We start from the raw sequence: 15697 nt of genomic DNA, 5'->3' as shown, positions 1-15697 counted from the left end.
ACATATAATTAGTTTTGATTGCTAAAATAATTTTTTAAGATTATGACATTTCTGATTTATTTTTCAGCTTTATTTTATTTTTTGCAGTTAATATTTTATTTTTGCTGTGGGTGGGCCTTGAAAATTAGTAGTTAGTTTAAAAATAATTTTAAAATCAGTAATAGTAAGTAATCATTTTATGCATTAAAAATTGCTGTAGCTTCAGTAGAAAGTTTGAGTGTTACTTTGAAATGGACAGGAGTACTTTACTGAAAACAGCTGTGTGTCACTAGTTTATCTGACATAGCATTTAGGACTAACCACTCTTTCATTTCCAAAATTTAGGCAAAAAATAGTTCAAACTGAATTGTTTTATTTATTATACTTTTGTTTTTCTCTTCCCTTTCCCCTCACCCCAATTATTAAAGGAAAATCTACAAACACTTGGAACAGAAATAGAACGTCTTATTAAACACCAGCATGAACTAGAACAGAGGACAAAGAAAACCTAAAACAAGCCTCTTGCTCAGTAAAGAGACAAAAGCCACACAGGAGTAGGTGCCACTGACCTCTATTGTTGGAGACTTTGTTCCACTTTTTGTTTCAGCCAGTAAAAATATTGTTTTGCTTCATCTGTACACAAAAAAATACCCTTTTACAATATGAATGCATTGCTGTATATACTGTAAGACTGAAAGCTTTGATGAAATTTGTTTTTGTATGGTGCAATATGACAGCCTGTCATTGAATCTAAACAACTTAATTTGCTTGTATTCATAAGAAGTGTTGAACATTACAAGGGCTTTTATAAAAAACCCTTTGTTCATATTTCTTCCCTTTAAAATATGTAATGTCAAAAATGACTCACCTTTTAAAAATTATGCATGAAAACAGGTGGTAAACATTCAGTAATACGCTATTTCTCCAACATCAAGACAACTAAAACAAATGATAAAAATGTTTATTTTTACACTCCAGCATATCGGGTGAGTTTTAGGGATGTGTATGAATATTTAAATCTTTTAATTTCAGTTTTAATGAAAGCTGAACTTAATAGGAAAGCTAGCTCTTGGTAACTAGCAATGATCAGGCATTGTTTGCCTCTGTCAGGTTTTCTTATCTGTTTTAGGTACATTTTTTCAGATTCTGATTGTTTGAGTTAATGGTTGAATTTTTAAAGTTTTTAGTTACTTAAAATATGATTTTAAATTACATATTAATTTAGAAAATTCCTGTGTTTACTTATATTTTAAATTGTGAAATGGATCCAATCATTAGAACAGAGAGAATAGTTCTTTGAAACTGAAATACTTTAGTTTTACTGACCTTGTGTAAAGATAATATGAAGAACCAGCTTCCAAAAGAAACCAGCATATGGCACTATAAACTATTTCATTTGAGCACCATTCTTTACCATGGATATATTAATTATGTATTATAGTGGAGTGATCATACAGTTCCCCCAAATGTGATGTTTCAGTGTATTTATTTAAAACATAAAGTAGACCAGGTGCAGTAGCTCACGCCTGTAATCCCAGCACTTTGGGAAGCCAAGGCAGGAGGATTACCTGAGGCCAGGAGTTTAAGACCAGCCTTGGCAACATAGCGAGACCCCCATCTCTACAAAGAAATTTTAAAAGATTATCCAGGCATGGTGGTGCATGCCTATGGTTCCAGCTACTCGGGAGGCTGAAGCGGTAGAATCACTTGAGCACAGGAGGTCAAGGCTGCAGGTGAGCCATGATCGTGTCACTGCACTCCAGCCTAGGCAACAGAGCAAGACCCTGTCTCTTAAAACAAAAAACCTCACACATACCTAAAATAAGTATATATCTGTAACCAAAGGAACTTAATTTTAGAGCCAAATTTTTCTATCTTGTTGGATTTTTTACAGTGTTTAAGATAGACACTTAAGTGTTGCCGTAGTATCAATATTTCTGTCATTGAATTTTTTCTCACCCCTTATTATTTCTCACTTACAATTTCTGAGCATGATTTTTCATAATTCATTATCTTCAGATCATTACTATAATAAGATACCGTGGCTCTTATGCAGATATTGCAGCAAGCCTTGTTTGGTTTGGATTTTTGCATCCCTTTTTCTCCCATTAAGGGAATTAAGTTTTGGGATGATGGATTAAAAGCCTGTAAAGAATTGTTTGGGCTCTAAAAGTTGGGCTCATGGTGGCAATATCCTTTTAATGTGTTTTAACATTTTTTAATCAACATCGTTTAAAAATAATTTACTAAGGATTAGATTATTTAATGAATGTCTTTTTTTCTATATATTGAATTAGATGTTATCCCAAAAAAAATATCTTTTCACTTCAAAATGAAAATATATGTTCAAAGATGTTTTATTTTTAGAATAGTTATAAAAAGTATTAGTCTTAACATAATGTGTCTTGTTCTTTTTACCAATAATAATTTATCAAAATAAGAGGGAAAGTGCAATCAAATCTGAATTATTTTACTATTTGTTTCTAGACACACTACTTAACACTCCTAAAGACTACTTTGAGTAGGCAACATAACTAAATTTTTCTAGTTTCTTATGATACAGGTTCATAAACTACAATATTTGGATTTTTTTCCCCAAGGCACAAAATGTATAATGGAGACCAAATAGTGATCTGATCCATAGTATCCTATGCCTATACACTTTAAAATGTATATACATTTTAGACAAAAATGCACACTCCAGTATTAATATTTGTGCTACCATCTACTTGGAGAAGTTTAATGAGAAAATTTTAGAAGAAAAGTATTACAAACAATATTTTGACTCTATTACCTGTTTTGCCTTATACATTTTAGAAACTGGAAATTTTTTAAAGAAAATGCTTTAGTTTTCTTCTGTTCTTCACTGTCTACAGTGTGCTTTTGTATATGGATCAGGACTGAGCAAAGTAATTACATGTATCAGAGATACTTATCTCTATACTAATTCACAGACAGCTCCTGATGTAAGGATTTAGAGGGCCTTCTGCCCTCTGAATATATGGTGAGGAGAATGGGGTATCTGGAAAAGGAAAATGATCTGGATAAATCTGAGACCTGGGGGGAAGTTTGTTTTATATGTTCATTATTGGTTGTTACATATCAAGGCTGTTTTGGTTATGTATCAATATTGTGGTTTATTTGAGCTGGAAGTGATTTTTTCTGTGTATGTATATGTATACACTTCAATAGGTTTTAATTTTGAAGTGAATATTTGCCATGACTCCATTTTCCCCATACCACTTCAGACTTTAGCCTGTTTAGTTTTAAGGACTGAAAATGGTAGGTTTGGGCAGAAGAATGAATTTGAACTTTGATGGGGTTTTTTTGTTTTTACTTTCTATCTTCATAACCATTTAAAGCGATTTAGCTTGAAATTAAATTTTATCAGGCTACCAACATGTTATTTATTTATTTAATAAACACATTTATTGAAAACCTATACTATTGTATTGGCACCATACAGGGTATTGTATTTATACTAGTGAGCAGACCAGGGCATTTCCATCCTCATGGAGTTCATGGTCTAATGAAAATAGCTGGGGCCGGGTGTGGTGGCTCACCCCTGTAATCCCAGCACTTTGGGAGGCTGAGGTGGGAGGATTGTTTGAGCCCAGGAGTTTGAGACCAGCCAGGGCAACATGGCAAAACCCCATGTGTACAAAAGATTAAAAAATTAGCCAGATGCAGTGGCACATGGCTGGGGTCCCAGCTACCCAGGAGGCTGAGTTGGGAGGATCATCTGAGCCTGGGAGGTTGAAGCTTGCAGTGAGCTATGATTGCCACTGTACTCTATACTCCAGCCTGGGTGACAGAGTGAAACCCTGTCTCAAAAAAAAAAGAGGAAAGAAAATAGCTAGGAGACAATCAGAGCAGATCTTGGGCTTCTGTGGCTCATCTCAGCCCTTTATAACTGGCCTGAGAAGAGGGTTTATCTACTTGTGCAAGTGGCCCAGAAATCTCACTCGTACATGAGGCTTTGGAACATCCTTGCAAAGGTACGCTGAAAGCAAATTGCTGTTTTCCTGGTGGTTCTGCACGTTTCCTAACTTTTATCATAGTTTGATTTTCATTATTTAAGAAAAAATAAAAAATCCAAAGACCATAAGATGGCATTAGATTTTTTACCATTAAATTATTAATGCCTATTTGGTGCTCATAAAGATTAATCATGTCACGCATGTTTCCAATCTTTCTTTTGCAGTATATTATTTTCTAAAAATTGTTACATGCAAATTTAAACCAAGATTTATCAGTAAAAGAAAAAAATAGAATCCTTAATAATGTAAATGTTGTTATATATGCTACCCTGGTGAAAATATTTTTATAAATCATGTTGTCATTTATGCTTTATGTAGCCTATTTTTCAATAACCTTTTTTTAAAAGCAATTTTTTTTGACACCAAGATTGTTGATTTTTAATTAACACCAGTTGGTGGCACTAGAAACCTGAAATTTTTCAAAGATGAACAAAGAAAAATTGAAAAGGTAATCTAAACATGGAGAATTTTTAGGAAAATAAATGAAAAATATAATTGTATATTAGAGATGTATTTTTCTTCTGGAATGGAATTCTTTTTCTAAAATGCAAATCGCTATCCATTTTGACTGCAATGATGAAACTTGTTTATCTTCCAGAGGACATATATATATGTGTGTGTGTGTGTATTGTACAGATACCTTTAATTTGATTACACTGTTTCTTGTAAATATGTTTCTGTATAAAATGAAACTTTTCAAGAGGATTCTATGTATATATTGTACTTATTAAATAGGTAATGCCTATTTACCAACTTGTAGTTTGATGGCATCTTTATTTGTTTATATGCACCATTTGCTAAACAGACTGATTCTTCAGACTGTTGGCAAGACTGATTCAAATAGCTTCAATTTCCTTTTTTTAACTAGACTGGGAATTTTTGCTTTCTATAGTTGTCTTTATTCTATCAATATGATTGGAAGTCAGTGAACAATAGTAAGCAGATTAAGTTGAATGCTGGGTTGTATTTTAAATTTTTGTTTAAATTATTGACAGCAAAACTTAGCCTGTGTATTAATTGGTTTTCACACTGCTGTAAAGAACTGCCCCAGACTGGGTAATTATAAAGGAAAGAGGTTTAATTGATTCACAGTTCTGCGTTGCTGGGGAGGCCTCAGGAAACTTACAATCATGGTGGAAGAGGAAACAGGCATATCTTACATGGTGGCAGGTGAGAGAGAGAAGAGGGAGGAAGAACTTGCAGACACTTATAAAACCATCAGATCTTGTGAGAACTTACTACCACGAGAACAGCATGGGGGAAACTGTCCCCATGATTCAGTCACCTCCCACCATGTCCCTCCCTCGACACATGGGGATTATGGGGATTGCAATTCAAGATGAGATTTGAGTGGGGACACAGAGCCAGACCATATCAGCCTTTTACAAAAGGTTCTGTGGCCTATAGGTATGTGAAAATTTCTTATTTGATAAGCCAGTGATGTATTCAGATTTTCCATAAAATTATAGAACTCACTTGCCATGTAGTCTAGCTTCAGTAATAAAGAACTAAGTATTTTCAATAAGAAGACACTGAAAGCATTAATTCAATTAAGTGAATATGTGTGGGATGAAATATTTCACATCACAAGGCATTGGTTTCCATTGCTCTAACAGTTCTGGTACACTTAAATTATGCCATATAACTTAATGAGTTCTCTATTGGAAAGAATCTCCTGAAATCAAGATCTGCAGAGTAAGTGTAAAATTAGTAAAGAAAGTTTTCCAACATACTTAACAGTCTGCTTTCAGTAGCCTGTGGATTTGTTCGCAAGAGAAAGGAAGATATAGGGAAAGAGGGTAAATCAAGGAAAGATACTAGCCGTGGTTCTTGATTTAGGTCCACGTAGCAGGAGAGTAGTGACTTGAGGTGATAATTATGAGCAGAGGCTTTTAGTGGCTCCTTTATATTCAATTAACTATGTCAAAGTACCATTCACGTGGTCAGTATGACCTGCAGTCATGAGATGGGAAGGCCATTCTGATGAACTTATATCCAAGTCTGTTTTTTCTTAATAAAATCAGCTTAAGTTAATGAATGCAGAATGAGTACCTGCTCCTTCAGGAGCAGCAACTCAGGAGCGTTCCTCTGTGATTAACTGATACTAATGCTGAGTTTTAATGACTGTCTGAGAATAGTGTGACCAGACTTGATGTTTCTGCCCCGTAGAGATGCTCTGTTATTAATTTCTAACTTACACTTTTTTAAAAAAGTACACTTTTTAAAATTAAAATTTGGCAGTAGTCTGACAATAAAAAAGACTGCTTATGGGATACTGTTATGTTAAACTTCAGTTACAGGATGTTAAATCCTTAGAACTAACTTTTCCCCAGAAAAACGTTAATGGAAACATCAATTGCTTTTTAGACTTGATAGTTATTGCTTCAAAAGGTGAATTTACACAAATACCAAATTAAAAAAAACAAAACTTTAGTACCTAATGAACTGCATTTATTTCTGTATGCATCCACATTTCAGCATGTAGCGGTCCTGAACAGAAAGTGGAAAAACGAAGCAATTTGCCAGAAGGTCAAGCCCACCAATTTCAGGGGTCTGCTGTGCACACCAAGGTCTCAATCCCTGCTGAGGATCTTCAGAAGCAACCGCAATGCCAAAACCAGAATATGCACTGGATTCAAGATTTTGTTCCAATTGTCATATTTTAAACTAGACCCCAATGAATTGGAAGGATGACCAAATGACAGCCCTGTTTAAAACTTCAATTTCTAAAAGCAAAATCAATTACAGAAAAAAATATTACAGAGGGATTATGTGTGCTTATGAGTGTCTTCATGTGGTCTTTCTCCAAGTTTAACCACCAAGGACTTTGAGAGCTGGCAGGTCTGAGTAACCCTGGAGACAATTCACTTTATCAAAACCTGAGCTAAAAACAACGCATCAGCTGATGATGACCGCAGAGAGTGGCAGGACTGAGGACCCAATATTTGTTTTCCAGCCTGGTGGAGAGTGAATAGTGAGGTTCCAAAACTAAACAAGGGAGGTCAGGAAAACTTTCCAACCTTACCTAATGGCTTCTGGCCAAAGCAAGGAAGTGTCATGGAAAGTGTTGGGTGGTGATGGTGCAAAAGGAACTTGAGGAGGAGGGAAGAAAAAGCACCCCTCAAAGCTGGGGAAGAGAAAATATGGAGAAAGCCCTAAATTCCTCATTGAAGGCCAGTCTCGGAAGTGGAGGGGTTATGATCTGTGCTTCAGTCAAAGGTAGGAGTGGAAGAGCATGGGGACAGGATGATGGCTTGGAAGGGGCATCATTTAAGACTTAAACCAGGGGTGCAGGCAAAGCACCCCATGTACCCAGCAGGCTGCCGCCTGAAGCCTTCACATCTACGTATGTTCAATAAGAAGATACTAAAATGGCATTTAATCAAGTTAGCATGCGTGATGGAATATTTCACATCACAAGGCATTGGTTTCCATTGCTCTAACAGTTCTGGTACACTTAAATTATGCCGTGTAACTTAATGAGTTAACTATTGGAAAGAATCCCCTGAAATCAAGATCTGTAGAGTAAGTGTAAAATTAGTAAAGAAACCTTTCCAATGTAATAATCTGCTTTCAGTAGACTGTGGATTTGTTTGCAAGAGAAAGGAAGATTTAGGGCAAGAGGGTAACAAGCACCCCAGAGTAGAGGGCTGTTGCAGGGAGGGTACGAGCTGGGGGGAGGGGCAAGGAGAGAAGGCAGAGAGCCCAGGCCATGTAATCAACAGAAAGGTGATTGTGTGATGTGTCTTTTCACAGTTAGATGTGCCCCACCAGTTATGATGGGAGTCAATTTAAATATACTTTCTTGATCCCAGAATTTCAACTACGTGGACAGTGGTTACACTTGACAGGATAACTTATTATAGCACAATTTACATATTTCAAATGGACAAAAAATTAGTATCATTTAGTATCTTAAGATAAATTTCCTTTGAATGGGAGCTTCTTTTCCAGTACTTTGAGGTCTTCAAGACATATCTAGAAAATTTACTGTGGAAAATGAAGACTCCTTAAATTGAATTGTGGGGAAGGGAAGGGCCTGTGGTTTTTCTTTTTGATTAATTGCTGTAACATTGTCCTTCAGGAGGCTAAGGGAGTTTTCATATTTTCTTTAGATATCGTTGGGCGCCAAAGCTCTTGCAGGACAACTTTGATGCTTTAAGAATTCTGCCATTTTGCTAGCACTGATATGGATCTTGGGCCCACCACTCCATTGGAACTATTAACTCCATATTAATTTTCATTACAAATCTTACAGAGCGGGTGCTTCTGGGTATTTAGGTCCACATTCTACTTTAAGGCTGGATATTTGGTTTTCATAAATTATTCTCGGAGGCCCAGTCATCATTCCTGTCCATCCTGTAAGTGACATGTCTTTGTCATCTTCCAGACCCCAGTTAACTGTGCCATCTCCTCTTTTCTGGCCCCCTTCATGTTCTTCCAGCAATGGGAAACTGCGAGGGACCTTTTTACTCCCAAGCCTGTGGTGGCTGCCAACTTGTGTTGCCATTGCTCCCTAACTTACATTTAAGAGACTTGATTCTTAAAAAAAAAAAAAAACTCAAGGTGAAGGGAAGCATATATTTAAGAAATATTTTATTTCTGAGGAATTTCCAGCCTTTTTCCAACAGCCAGGCTTGTTAACATACTACCTGCCCCTAATTGCACTCCATAAAAACGGATAGGCTATTATATTCAAGAGAAGAATCTCTACCATCTAACCCAGTACAAAAGTTCTGTTGAAAGTTTAAGATCCATTGAAATAACCAAGCTTGTCCATAGTTAACTTCTAGTTACAGTTAACTCAGGAAATACATTAAATACTAGAGTAGCTTTCCACATCATCCATTTCTGTAGTTTTTTTGTTTTTAGCCACTAAAGCCCCAAGGGTGTGAAGGGAGTGTTTTCAGCATCTTCCCACTTTGCTTATCCCAAGAAACATCAGTTAAACTTGCCACACTACCTAAAGGTTCTTAGTCTGGCCCCTTGGTGAGTTCTGACTAGGGAAGACACCCCCTAGATCCCCCAGCTTGCTGCCCTTGCTCTAGGTCTGGAGCTGTGGGGCTGGCCACCTCTGGGAGAAACACTTTGTGTCTTGGTTCTGCTCCCGCTAGAGCTCCTATCGATGCCATCTCTTCCCCAGAAACCAGGTCCCCAGGTGTCCATACCAAAGGAGTGTACTTCTTTGGACTCTGAACTAGCTTGTTTCTAGATTTTGTGTTTTGCTTTGTGTTAATTTGAGGCCAGGGTGGAGGGAATTGTGCAGAGAGCCTGCTGGGACAAGCAGGCTGCAAAGCGTCTGTTTCTGGTGTCTCTAATTGGAATTCCGAACTCTTTCTCATAGAAATCATATTTTAAATAGTGAATACTATCTTAAGAACTTGTCACAGCTTATGAGTAAAAAAGGAGGAATGTGCTTGCCTAAAAATGCTTGTCACTGTTTTTCTTTGATATGATTAAATGCTTTCTAAGCTCTGAGGCACCAACTTCCAAAAAAAAGTTGAAGCAGAAGTATCAGGTGCCTTCCAAGATATTGGATGATCCGATCTCACAAAGGTGCTCTGAAGTTTATGTTGTTAATACTAGTAACTTGTATGTCAAAGCCCAAGATGTTGCTGATGATTTTTAAAGATCATACTGGACCCACAGGTGTAATACAGTTCCCATTTCAGCAACAACTTGGTATAGAGCAGGAAAGAATGTTTTCCATTTGTCTGTGCCCACTCGACCCACAGAACAAACACCCCACCCTAAACGACAACCAGAACACTTCTCACCATCCGGAGCTGGTTTGGCTGTATCTGCGTTTCCTCCATTATCCTGTTGGAGTGGGCTTTTGTTTACCAGGTTAGTCAGGTGAGTGAGAGATGAAAGGGGAAAGGAATCAAGTTCAGCAAGAGTCCTTGTCAAATTTGTCAAATTGCAATTGAGGTGATGCGAGTGCTCCATGTTACAGATAGGCTTACGTACGCATCGGATGGCTGGCGTGCCGCATGAAGTAGGACCAGCAGCCTTTGGGCTAATGTATCGTGTTTATGGAAGATGTTCCATGGTGATTCCTCATGTCACTTTGTACCTTTATAATTATAAATCAACCTAGAGATATACCAGCTTAACATATATGTATGTATTTTTTTAAGGAGGGGGTTCTGGAAAGATACACACTAAAGTCCTAGCTATGGTAACCTTGTGTGTATGTGTGTTGGAGGGATGGGGAAGAGGGTGCAGGGTTTTTGTGGAATTATGTATTACGTAATTTAAAGTTGACTTTTAGGAACTTTTAAAAGAGCCAGTTCATCTTAAGAAACACTTATTCAGAGTATACCAAAGCGTTTTTCCAGGTTAATCTGTTTTCTGATGCTCATTAACAGATAAATATGTGGCATGGAGTATTGCAATCTGTGGAAATGAAAAGCAGGGAGCTTACTAGTTTTTTGCAAGGATGGAGTGGGGTAAGGATCAAGTTCGAATACAGGTGAGATCTGGGGGGCATAGTTCTCACTTCCTGGTGGCAGCTGTCTGCATGATCCATCCCACCATGAAGTTGTAAAGCCCCCGAGTGATTCTGGATACCTGTTCTCAGCGTAAGAAAAGTAGCTCCATCATCATACATGGACAAGTTTTTCCCCTGAGGTGCTGTTATGCATTTTCCAAGTTTACTTAATGCAATAGTTACTTAGAAAGCAGACTAGTATTTAGCAGCTATTCTGGTCAGAAATCAAATGCAGCCTACTCTAGTGCTTTTGTATTTTAAGAATGTTTTCCCTTTGAAATGATAAAGAACACACATTTAAAGGAAACATATTAGTGGAGGTACAGAGAACAAATACTAATTAACTGCTTTGAGTGAGGCTCAGACAACCCTATGAGGTAGGAAACTGAGGCTCAAAGTAATTTACCCCAGAGCTTACTGCTAGGTATTTGTGGAGCTGGAATTTGAACTCACTTTATGGATGCCTTTTGCTATTCTTTGCTGCTTCCCAAAAGTCAAAAGTTCTAATACCTTGGGAAGTGGGGTAAGGTCATATTTAGATTCCTTTTCTATGCTTAATATGCTTTTAACAAAAGTACCAATAATTAGTTTAAAGAAGATGCCCATGCATAAGAGCGTGTGATCTAGTAAACTCTTTGTTGGAGACTTGGTGCCTCTATTTTCACCTTTTGATTGTCTTTTGACTTAGCTTTTCCTCTAACCACAGTCAAAGAAGGGAAATAAAAACAATCATTTTGTTTCCTCTTAAACTGTAAAGGTGTTTGGAGGGGGAATCATAGGTAATAAATCACATCATAATTTTCTTGACAGTCTGGACAGTGAATAGGTGTTCCTTAAGCTTTTTTTTTTTTTTTTTTTTTTTTTTGATACAGGGTCTCACTCTGTTACCCAGGCTGGAGAACAGTGGCATAGTCAGGGCTCACTGCAGGTTCAACTTACCAGGCTCAGGTGATTCTCCTCTCTCAGCCTCCCAGTAGCTGGGATTATAGGCATGTGTCACTACGCCCAGCTAATTTTTTTGTATTTTTCGTAGAGACAGAGTTTCTCTATGTTGCCCAGGCTGGTCTCGAACTCCTGGGCTCAAGCTATCCACCTGCCTCGGCCTCCCAAAGTGCTGGGATTACAGACGTGAGCAATCGTGCCAGCCAGGTGTTCCTTAAGCTTTTAAATTACCTGTACACATAACTTCCCGTGCACTGCCTTGTGGATGACTGTAACAGAGACTCCCTTTCCTGCCCATCTCCTTCAGAGCCAACTAGAGGAGGCAACAGAGGACTGTAAGGGTCCCTGGACTTGGACTTGGAAGACCCTACCTTGCCACTTTTTGTGAAACCTTTTACAAATCACCCACCTCATTGAGCTTCAGTTTTCTCATCTGTAAAAGGGGATGAGAAAGCTCACCTTGCAGAGCCATTCTGTGGAGTGAACAGGATAATGCATGGGAAAGAACTTTGAAAACTGCAAAGCTCTGCGACATGGACATATTATTAAGCTAAATCTTCAAAAATAGAGGTCTAATTTCTGTTTCTAAAAAAATAATTATTAAAAAAAGTTGAAGGATGCATATATATGTGTACTGTAAAAATTGTTGCTTTAATAGCATAAACTTTGCAACAAAGGGAAAAAATACCTTTAAATATGCATTCATGTGTATATGCAAAGAAAAAGTTCTGAATGGATACATACCAGACTCCACAGTGGTTTCTCCTGAAAATCACATTATAGAGTGGTGGACTTTCTATTTGAATTTATATTTTTCTGTTACTGGAAGTTTTTCAGCGAGTATGTACTACTTTTGCTATAGTTAACTTTAAAAATTATTATTCTAAGAATCATATCCTGATTTTTAGAGGGCTATATGCCTGACCCTCTAGCAAGGTAAAAGGGGGAGAGTGTGGAGATAGTATGTGTATGTATATATTTATTGTCTAGAAAGATCCTATTGTTCAATTTTCTGATTTCTTTGGAACAGACTGAGTTTGGGAAGAGGTGGGAGAAGGTGATGTGTGTTGCTGAAAGAGAGCCACGCTCTTTTGAGCAGCATCAACTGAGATCTATAATCCAATTCCAGTTTCAGACCTTGGTTTGACTTTTCAACAGCTACCGAGAAACACTTGGAGCCTAATCCCATTTCTACAAGTGGATTGGTAGGTGTAGCCACTGCATTTGGAGAATAAGTACAATGGAAGAATGGAAGAATGCTGTGTGCGTGTTCTACTCATTCTCAACCCAGCCCCTTCCTCTTGTGCACAACCACACAAAGTCAGCAGGGGAAGTGTTCAGATGGCTGGAGCTTTTAAATTCATAATTGTCTGACATTCTCACACAGCTTCTGTCCTGAGGGCCTGGTTCTATCATATACATTGTGTGTGTGTGTGTGTGTGTGTGTGTGTGTGTGTGTGTGTGTGTGTGTCGGGGGGGGGCAGTTACCTTTTTGTAGGAATGGGGAAGAAAAGAGAAAAAGCCCCGTAAGGATTGGGATGTTTACTAATTCCAACAAAAGGGAGGTGTTCGCATGAATCGCATCTCGAACCTCCCTTGGAGGGAGGTCTAGATGTTTCATTTCCAGCCACCCTTTGTGTGGGACACAGAGATGGTGCTGATGAAGATGAGCAGCCAGACAAGCAGCGGCGTCTCCATACCTGTCACCCCGCCACATGCTTCGCTCTCATTCTCTTAAATGTAATAAAGCTTTCCCCTCAATACTTTGCTGAGGTTCTGTGGTGCTTCCAAAGCAACACATATAACTTAAGCACTGCTCCTAACTCAAATGATGTGTGTTTTGATGGACTCATTGCTGCCACTTGGACTCAGCCATTATGCTAAGCAAGAAACATGTGCTAGGCCAGGAGCGGTGGGTCACGCCTGTAATCTCAGCATTTTGGGAGGCCAAGGCAGGTGGATCACCTGAGGTCAGGAGTTCAAGATTAGCTTGGCCAACATAGTGAAACCCTGTCTCTACTGAAAATATAAAAATTTGCTGGGTATCGTGGCGGGAGCCTGTAATCCCAGCTACTTGGAAGGCTGAAGCACGAGAATCGCTTAAACCTGGGAGACGGAGGTTGCAGTGAGTAGAGATTACACCACTGCACTCCACCCTGGGCAACAGATCGAGACTCCTCAAAAAAATAAAATTGGCCGGGTGTTGTAGCTCACGCCTGTAATCCCAGCACTTTTGGGAGGCCAAGGTGGGCAGATCACTTGAGGTCAGGTATTCGAGCCCAGCCTGGCCAACATGGTGAAACCCCATCTCTATTAAAAATATTAAAAATTAGCTGGGTGTGGTGGTGAGCCACCTGTAATCCCAGCTACTGGGGAGGCTGAAGCAGGCGAATCACTTGTACCTGGGAGGCGGAGGTTGCAGTGAGTCCAGATTGTGCCACTGCACTCCACCCTGGGCGATAGAGTGAGACTCCATCTCAAAAAAAAAAAAAAAAACAAAACAAGACATATCCGAAATAAATGTTCCATCTTTGTCCAGTTTTCTGCTTGCTTTTGTGTTGAGTATTTTATAAAATTTGATTATATTTTCATTATGGCTTTATGAGTTATGCCTCTTTTTAAAACATTTTTGTGGTTGCCCTAGAGTTTAATAAGGTATCTTAAAAATATGAAACTCTTCATATTTTTGACAGTCATCATTGTGCAGAGCCTTGCTGATATTCTGTGACAGACCCGAATTTACTACACGTGCTCTGAAGCGATCACCTTTTCTAGAGTTTCTTCTGCCTGCTTTCAAATTGGATGACAAGAAGCAAAGACCAACAGATCCTCTAGACCAGTGTCAGAAATGAGAGCGACCTTCGAGAGAAAACATCCAGTTCCAGAGTGACCAGACTTTCAGGATAGGAAAACTGAAAACAAAATTCTGAGCTTGCTTTTATTTTGCTAAGTAAGGATGAAAATTTTTTTCCACTTACTATCACTATTTCATAAACGACAGGATGTTTTAACACTGAAAACAAAGGTAGAAAGAATCAACTTTTAAACTGAATGGCTTCAACTCTACAAAATACTGTATTTGTTTTCTTCACCTCACAATAGCCTGGTATTTGACAACCACTGATGTGGTCCAACCCCTTATTATAAGATGAAGAAAAAAGTTCATAGGAGGAAGTGTTTTGCCTGAGGTTACACCAGGCCAGCCTTTTCCTGGCTTTACAGGGACTAATCACCCTTGGGTTCCATAGGTCTTGGAACCAAATGAACTAAGGAAGCTCTAAAGATGAAGGATGTGTTGGTCATCTATTTATTGCCTCACAGCTCCAAATGCACTCTTCAATACCTGTAATATACAAGAGAATTCCTTTAAACATTTCTCCACTAAAGGGAGTGTGATGTTAAGATTTCTCAGTAGAGGGCAATGGAGGCACATTCCAGGAGAAAGAGGCTTCCCCAGGTTTCTGGGCGAGGCTGGTGTCAGCCCTGTGAGTGTGAAGATCTCCATCCAGTGGAGCCTGCCCCAGCCGTGGGACCAGAAAAACCATCCATCTACAACCTTACAGCCTCTTCTCATGGTAACCTTTCCATAGCTCTCTTGACATGGAAACCAAAGCTCCTGCCTGGCTCACACACAGGTACTTTTGCCTAGAGGGTCATACACAGGATAACCATTCCTTCTGCAAGTTTCCATGTGGCCCACAAGCTCTGAAGTCCTCTGCCCTGCTGGTGTCCAGGCTCCTACTGCATGTCCACACCAGTGGCTGCTGACTGACTGCCTGCTCTCCAGCCACACTCTAGAGGTTAGCTGTTGCTTACCTAGCAACTGGTAGACCCGCCCTGGCCTGGCCAAACCATCTAACATTGCTGCTTATCCAGTGGGCTGAGACATACCTTCTCCAACGAGGTCTGAACTCCTCCTTTGAGTACTCTCTCTGAACCCTCGCATACTGTATAGGATTTCCTTTTACCTTTTTTTTTTTTTGAAATGGAGTTTTGCTCTTGTTGCCTAGGCTGGAGTGCAATGGCGTGATCTCGGCTCACTGCAACCTCCACCTCCCAGGTTCAAGCGATTCTCCTGCCTCAGCCTCCTGAGTAGCTGGGATTACAGGCACCTGCCACCACGCCTGGCTAATTTTTTGTATTTTTAGTAGAGATAGGGTTTCACCATGTTGGTCAGGCTGGTCCTGACCTCAGGTGATCCACCCGCCTCGACCTCCCAAAGTGCTGGGATTACAGGCATGAG

General features: G+C 39.0%; 1 protein-coding gene and 2 pseudogenes across 4 annotated transcripts in view; 1 reads left to right on the top strand and 2 right to left on the bottom strand.

The window, feature by feature from the left end:
• Positions 1-4772, top strand: part of CCDC186 (coiled-coil domain containing 186) — a 53359-nt gene extending 48587 nt beyond the window's left edge. For all 4 annotated transcript variants that reach the window (NR_135815.1, XM_011539915.4, NM_001321829.1 and 1 more), the window contains one exon: positions 408-4772. Coding sequence is in view for 3 of the 4 variants with exons in the window: in XM_011539915.4 (XP_011538217.1) it covers positions 408-491 (84 nt within the window). In the remaining variant the exon portion in view is untranslated. The remainder of the gene's footprint in view (positions 1-407) is intronic.
• UBE2V1P5 (UBE2V1 pseudogene 5) lies at positions 8077-8526 on the bottom strand (annotated as a pseudogene).
• RNU6-709P (RNA, U6 small nuclear 709, pseudogene) lies at positions 14117-14220 on the bottom strand (annotated as a pseudogene).

Source organism: Homo sapiens, chromosome 10 (assembly GCF_000001405.40).
Source record: "Homo sapiens chromosome 10, GRCh38.p14 Primary Assembly".
Taxonomy (NCBI): domain Eukaryota; kingdom Metazoa; phylum Chordata; class Mammalia; order Primates; family Hominidae; genus Homo; species Homo sapiens.
The sequence above is the reverse complement of the archived record's forward strand: the minus strand, read 5'-3'. Positions and strand labels throughout refer to the sequence as shown.